Source organism: Homo sapiens, chromosome 3 (genome assembly GCF_000001405.40).
Source record: "Homo sapiens chromosome 3, GRCh38.p14 Primary Assembly".
Classification (NCBI taxonomy): domain Eukaryota; kingdom Metazoa; phylum Chordata; class Mammalia; order Primates; family Hominidae; genus Homo; species Homo sapiens.
Genome location: NC_000003.12, coordinates 146,037 through 153,512, shown reverse-complemented (window position 1 = coordinate 153,512; position 7,476 = coordinate 146,037). Strand labels below are relative to the sequence as shown.

The following is a 7,476-nucleotide window of genomic DNA, read 5'->3' as shown; positions in this document are numbered from 1 at the left end:
TCATGTTAAAGTGAAATGTCTCTGTAGGAAAAGTGGCTTAAAGGAAGGCCTTTTGAGAAGGGAAATAGATACATAAAAGTATTTAATAGCACCAATGTATTTGTGGTAATATCTTTGGGACAATGATTGTTAAAAATTCATCCCCCAATTCATGATTATCAAACTTAAGAATAATTGGTTTTCAAAATTCTTTCTGAATACTAATTTTCATGGCTGATAATAAAGGAAGGTCTTTAACAACTGAAATCCCTGAGGTTTAAAATTCATTAACAGACAGGACACTTGTTTCTAAGCTTTCCCCGTATGTTGGTGTTAAAATACGACAAAAAAAAATACCAATTGAAGATTCACTATGGTTGTTTCTGTTTACAACATATAGAACAACAATATCCTGGGATCTAACAAAAATGTGACCAAAGGCTCCAGCAAATTTAGACCCTGAAGGGACATACTTTGTCCTTATCGATGGCAGATGGTGTCTCATATTCTTGTGGGGGCATTCCATTTTATATAGTGTGATTAATCTACACTTTTACCTTTATTAATGCACCCACTCGGTTCATTTTCTTTTGTTGCACTCCTACCTTTCTAAAGTTACTTTATACTTATGTTATTTTTAAATTTTTTCTCTTATCTGTGTTTGCTCTTAACATTATAAATGTTTTTCTTGATGCAACCTTGGCTTCTTTCTACAAGGGGTGTTGTAGTGCTCTTAATACTTTACATTTCCAAATAATTAGAAACTTCGTTTATATAAACACACACACACACATATAAATGTGTTTCATTTTTTCAAGACTTATTTAGAAGTGTGTGTTTATTATAATCTTTCAAGGCATGATATTTGATGATTCTTCAGTTTTTAATTGTCTAACTTTATTACCACTTTATTCAATTTTAAGTCTATATCATTTCTCTTTTGGAGACTATATTGAGATTTTTATTTTTGTCCTAATAAAGATCACCTTTTGTCAGTTTAAAATGTGTTTTAGAATATATTATTTATTGCTTTTTAGAGTTAAAAACAATTAAGTTATACATATTAGTTGTATGAAGCATATTAATCCTATTATTCATATTCACTTTCCTCACTCAGTTATATTGTCAATTAGATATGTCAGTTTCTAAAAGGAAAATAATATTCATTGTGATATTGACAAGTTCTTTTTTTTGGGGGGGGGGGTTTGTTTGTTCTGTTTTGTTTTTTGTTTAGATGGAGTCTCACTCTGTCACCTAGGCTGGAGTGCGGTGGCGCAATCTCGGCTCACTGCAATCTCCGCCTCCCGGGTTCAAGTGACTCTCCTGCCTCAGCCTCCTGAGTAGCTGGGATTACAGGGGTGAGCCACCATGCCCAGCCAATATTATCAAGTTCTTTTATTTTTATCAGTTTTGCATATAGTATTTCAATTTTATGTTTTGGTTAAGATACCACATTGTTAAAGAGATATAAAAAGTAAAAGTTACAGAAATACTGAGAAGAAGCCAAAATGAAAGCAAAAGCAATTCAAGAAAACATCGTAGACTGATTGTGGTGGTTCATGCCTGTAATCCCAGTACTTTGGGAGGCCAAGGTGGGAGAAATGCTTGAGGCCAGTAGTTCAAGACCAGCCTACCTTTTTTTTTTTTTAAGTAGCCAGGTGCATGCCTGTAGACCCAGCTGAGGCTGAGGCAAGAGGATTGCTTGAGCCTGGGAGGTTAAGGCTGCAGTGAGCAGTGATGGCACCACTGCACTCCAAGCTGGGTGACAAAGTAAACCCCATCCCCTCCCCCAATAAAGAAAAAAAAAGTAGAAAAGAAAACATTCTACATGAAATGGTGAAAGTGGTTGAAGTACTGGGAAAGTTGAGTCTACTGCAGATAAGACGTGGTGAGGCATAGGGGTGGGATGGTACTAATGAGAGGTAAACCATCCAAATCCAAATATATGATGTGCCATCCCGTGACTGTGATATGCCAATGGCTGTCTGAGGCCTAGAACCATGTTTGCCAAAGAGAAACACTTTAATAACATTAAATATTAATAACTGCTGTTGCTGTTTTTGAGAGAAAAGGTCTTACTCTGTCACTGAGGCTGGAGGGTGGTGTTGCCATCATGGCTCACTGTCACTTCGCCCTCCTGAGCTCAGGCGATCCACCTTCCTCAGCCTCCCAAAACACTGGGATTACAGATGTACGCCACTGGGCCCAGTCCTGGTTTTTAAAAAATTAAATCCAAATTTTTATTTTTGTTTTGGTTTATTTCAACCAATGAATTAGGCAGCAGCAAGGCACAGTGAAAAGGCTTGGCTTTAATTGCAGTTTCCTTACACTCTAGTCGTATGACCTTGAGTTACTTGTGTTCTCTGACCATCAGTTTCTTAAACTAGAAATACTAATAATGCCTTTTCTTTAAGGTTCTTATGAAAACAAATGAGATGATTTGTGTATAGAATCTAGTGAAGTCGCCAGTCACAATGGCAATTATTAAAAAGTCAGAAAACAACAGATGCTGGCGAGGTTGCAGAGAAAAAGGAACACTTTTACACTGTTGTGTCAGAATGTGAATTAGTTCAACCATTGTGGAAGACAGTGTGGTGACTCCTCAAAAACCTAAAGACAGAAATACCATTCAATCCAGCAATCCCATTACTGGGCATACAACCAAAGGAATATAAATCATTCTGTTATAAAGATACATGCAAGCATATGTTCACTGCAGCACCATTCACAATAGCAATGACATGGAATCAACCGAAATGCCCATCAGTGATAGACTGGATAAAGAAAATGTGGTACATATACACAATGGAATATTATGCAGCCATAAAAAGGAATGAGATCTTGTCCTTTGCAGGGACATAGATAGAGCTGGAAGCCATTATACTCAGCAAACAAACACAGGAACAGAAAACCAAACACCCCATGTTCTCACTTATAAGTGGGAGCTGAAAAATGAGAACACACGGACACAGGGAGGGGAACAACACACTCTGGGGTCTGTTGGGGGCGGGTGGGTGGGGGAGAGCATCAGGAAAACTAGCTAATGCATGCCAAGCTTAACACCTCGGTGATGGGTTGATAGGTGCAGCAAGCCACCATGGCACAAGTTTACCCATATAACAAACCTGCATATCCTGCACATGAATCCCGAAACTTTAAAAAAAGAAAAGGGGGTGGAAGGAGGGGGAAAGAATCTAGTGAAGTGAGAGTGTCTGGCACATAGTAGATACTCAATAAAGGGCTGCCTCTATTGTTGTTGTGATACAACTAATAATAGAATTTTATTATTTTTAATGAAGCCTCTTAAGGAGAATTAGCATTCAAACTGTGATACGTAGTTTTTAGTTATCTATTGCTGCCTAACAAAATCATCACAAATTTAGATACTAAAAACAGCACTCATTTATTGTCTCACAGTTTCTGTCGTTCGGGAATCCAGGGACAGCTTAACTGCATCTTCTATGTCATGATCTTTCACAGGCTGCAATGAAATTGTTAGCCAAAATGGGAGTCTTAGATTTCAAAGGGGAAGGATCTGCTTCCAAGCTCATGTGTTTGTTGACAAAATTCAGTTCCTTGCAGCCTGTTGGACAGAGGACCTTAGTCTCTTGTGGGCTATTGACTAAAGGCCACCATGCTGTCCCCTCTGCAGGACATCTCACAACATGGCAGCTTGCTTCTTTAATGCCAGTAAGGGAGCCTGTCTCCCAGCAAGACAGATTTTGCAATCCTATATAGCATAGCCACAGAAGAAACATCTCATCACCTTTGCTGGATTCTTTGGGTTAGTGGTCACCAGTCCCACACACACTAAAGAAAGAGAAGAATATGTGGGGTTTGAAGAAAGCAGTACTTGGTTTCATGTAAGAGATATCTTAAAATAATTAAAACTGTTCAAAGAAGGAATGGGCCATACTACGAGGAAGTGTTCACATTGGCTAAATACTTCTGTCAAAAATGTTAGGGATTAAGTGGGGCATGATGGACAATGAAGGCAGCTCATTTCTGAATTACCTTCCTAGTATGATATGGTATCATTAAGAAATTCCTGATAGTGCTTCACTAGCATTTTTCTTGAATCATTCTAGTTGTTAGCTTAAAAGAGACCAACGTCTACTTAAGAAGTAACTATTTAGGAAAAAAAGGAGTGAGAATGGCTGTCTAAATATCGACCCTCTGCTATTCCTACACATTTGTGAAACTTAAACATTCTTATAAAATTCAGCTGTTTTTTCTGCTATGTCTTTGAGAAGTCATTGTATAGGCAATAACCGGATGAAAATATAGTTATATGAATTTTTTTAAAAAAACGAGTTATGTTTACAGAGGAGGTCTAAATGGGGTCCAAAGTAATGAATTTCATAATTGTCATTCCACATTTAGAAAATAGTAGTTGAGCTCATTTTAAATATTTGTTGAGAGCCTAACCCATTTTGCTAAAGTTCAGAATGAAAGCTTGGAGTCCCAGCCTCCCTTCTGGTAATTACTTCTGTGTGACCTTGGACAAGTTTCTTAACTACCCTGTACCTCAGTCTTATCCTTTGTAAAAGTGGAGGTAATAATATTACTCTTTAAATGGAGCTGTTTGGAGGATTAAATCAATTAATTTCTGTCAAGCTTTTTCATGGCATGTCCTGTGTACTTAACATGTACTAGCTATTATAATACCATTTAGTGAGAATGGATTGAAAATAGAGGCAATGGTGGCTTTTGGAAATTACATACAGAGTTTTATAACTAAGAAACTTTTGCATGTATGTATGTAATTAGCTATCATGAATTAACAAAATTCATAACTTACAGAGTGAGCACATATAGAACGATTCATTTCCCCTTTGTGGCAGCTTGATTACAATTTCTTTTTACTCTTAACAAGAATCTTGGATGAGATTAAGATGCAAGAAACAGGTGGTTTCTCAGATTTTAATAATAGCAGTGTAATGAAGTCTTTATCTCCCAATTTAATCAATAAATTGTCCCCTTTTTATCCAAAAGCAGGAATAGCTTTGGTAAATAATCAGCCTGCCAATATTTGTCAAACATTTCGCAGTAAATTGCTATCATTTGGATTACAGATGTATGCAGTTCACAAACCCTCTTCCTGGGTTTTCCCAGGAGCGAAGTGCAACTAAATCAGCTCAAAAAGAACATGAGGATTTGGAAGAACTGATTTGAATATATTACAAGACGTTTCACAAAAGTCCTAGTTTACATTCTTGCACGGACCTGAGCAATGCTAATAAATTGCCCTGGCTAAGAAGGCTGTTTCCTTTCCCTTTCCTTTTCTTTGTACGTGGGAATTCATAGATGAAAAATTTTACATTGATGGTGAGAGAGTTTCAGAATTAACCCCTGGGTTGAAATGCTGTAGCCTGCCAGTATGTCTTCACCACCTTCAGTTCCCTTGTCAAATGGGTGTCTTTTTCTGTAATTTGTGAAAGTCATACCAATTACCATGAGGGTGTAGAAAAACAGGGCACAAGAGGGTTTGGACCTCACAACTACCTTTGTTCAGGACTAATTAGGTGCTGATAGTTTCCAAAAGATGCTATCTCATCCTCCATCTCTATCTTGCCATTCTTTTTGTTTTTGAGACGAGGACAAATTTTTGCACGTTTTGTACAACTATCAAGTCATTCATTAAGAAATCTATCAAGTCATTCATTAAGAAAGATAGAGACAACCTTCTAGCAAGCAAGAGCAGACTTATTCCATGAACTCATGATGCCAGACAACAGAGACCTCTGCTAAGGTGAAGTCATTCAATTTACAGTGTCTTCACCTTTCTTTCTCTCTTCCCAGTGCCTGCTACCGTAAATGTCCATTCAATTTTTGCCACTATTTATTTTGTAATATGAGCACCTGTGTCTCGGCTACTAGATCAAGACAGCCAGCTGATTTCACATACCATTAAATAGAAAATAGACATCATTGTCTCGAGCTATAAATTTTACACACACACATACACACATACAACACTTGAAAGTATAGGTTCTTGTCCAGTTAGAAGGAATAAGAGAGAAAAAAAATTCAATAGGAACAATATTCAATTTTTTTCAGAATGCCTCAAGTTTAATATAGAGATGTGGTACAGCATAAGAATACTCTTGAGTCAGACTATCTGATGTTTTCTTCTGGAGGCCTTTGGAAAAGGTATTCAATGTTTTGGTCCTTTAGTCTTTTTATCTTTAAAATGAGATTAATAATAGAGTCTCCATGATAGGGTTGTTGTGATAATCAAATGTGTTAATACATGTAAAGTGCCTAGCTAGTCCATCATAAAAGATTAATCAATACTAGGTGGAAGAAATATGAATAGTTGTAGTAGAGTACCAGCAGCAGCAACAGGAAATTATTTTTATTGTCCTGAGTCCAGCAGCAAATGTAATGTATACACTGCGAACGGAAGCCTTCAAATCACGAGTGTCTGTCTTTCGTGTTCCAGTCTACCACTAAAATGAATTTAAAATAAAAATAAAATAAATTTTTGTTCATGTCAATGGTAAATATTTCATTGAAATTCCTAATTTATGGGTCATAATTTACTTTCAGGAAACAGAAATATTCTTTGGCTCCTTAATTGGGAGAAAAGTTGCTTTCTAACCCGATATGAGAACTTAATGCTTCAGCTGTTAGTATGGCCACACAAACTCGTTCTGGCAAGGCATCCACGGTGCTTCGCACGGGGTCCTTTTTTATTAGTGCAGTGTTTACCACCTGTGAACACAACACATGTAAAAAGAGACTTTTACAATTAGCCCTTTCAGAACCAATTCTGAAGTTAATGCATTTTGAATGAATTCACCTGTTTTTTTCCTTATCCATATTGCTCTTGGTGTAATGCCTTTTATATTAAAAAGAGAGTTATTTACTTGATTTATTTTTACTTTGTTCAAAAAGCAAGTAAAAAGCAGGGGCTAAAAGAAATAGTGTAATGCATTCAGTAGAAATATTTATTGTTATTCTCTACCTTATATAGATTTGGGTACCTTGATTAATAAAGTACAATAATACTATTTGAATTCAGGTGTTTCTATTGTGACAGCTAATGTTTGTCATGCTCTTACTATGGGACAGATGATGATATTCTTATATGTATTTCCTTAATCTTCTAGTAACCCTATGAAGGAGGTATCATGATAGTTCCAGTTTTACACATGAAAAATGCTAGGGCGCTGAGGAGAAAAGCAACCTTGCCAACACCTCACCAATTGTCGTAGATGGCCAGGATTTGTGTATTGGGTCTTGTCCTAATCCCGTCCCCCACCCTTTTTTAAAACAAATACGTTATTCTGCCATTAAAAATAATAGCTTCTGACATTGTCCTTACACGTCTAATTTATTGATTCTCCATTTCTCAGATGAGGAGGTTGAGGCACAGAAGAGCGAAAGAGTTTTTTCGAAGTCAGGAGTCGAACCTAGGCGTTCTGGCTCTCCTGACTCAGCTGGGCACACAACTGTGTTCTGTTGAACAAGAACACTATTAGTTTTTGTGTA

At 36.9% G+C, this 7,476-nt stretch overlaps 1 long non-coding RNA gene across 1 annotated transcript; it reads right to left on the bottom strand.

Annotated features, from left to right (window-relative positions):
* Window positions 1–6,321: 6,321 nt before the first annotated feature.
* On the bottom strand, window positions 6,322–6,685 carry LOC124909336 (uncharacterized). Its single transcript, XR_007095782.1, has 2 exons — window positions 6,584–6,685; window positions 6,322–6,431 (listed from the first exon to the last, which is right to left on the bottom strand). It is a non-coding gene; the product is annotated as an uncharacterized LOC124909336 (long non-coding RNA).
* Between the last annotated feature and the right edge of the window lie 791 nt (window positions 6,686–7,476).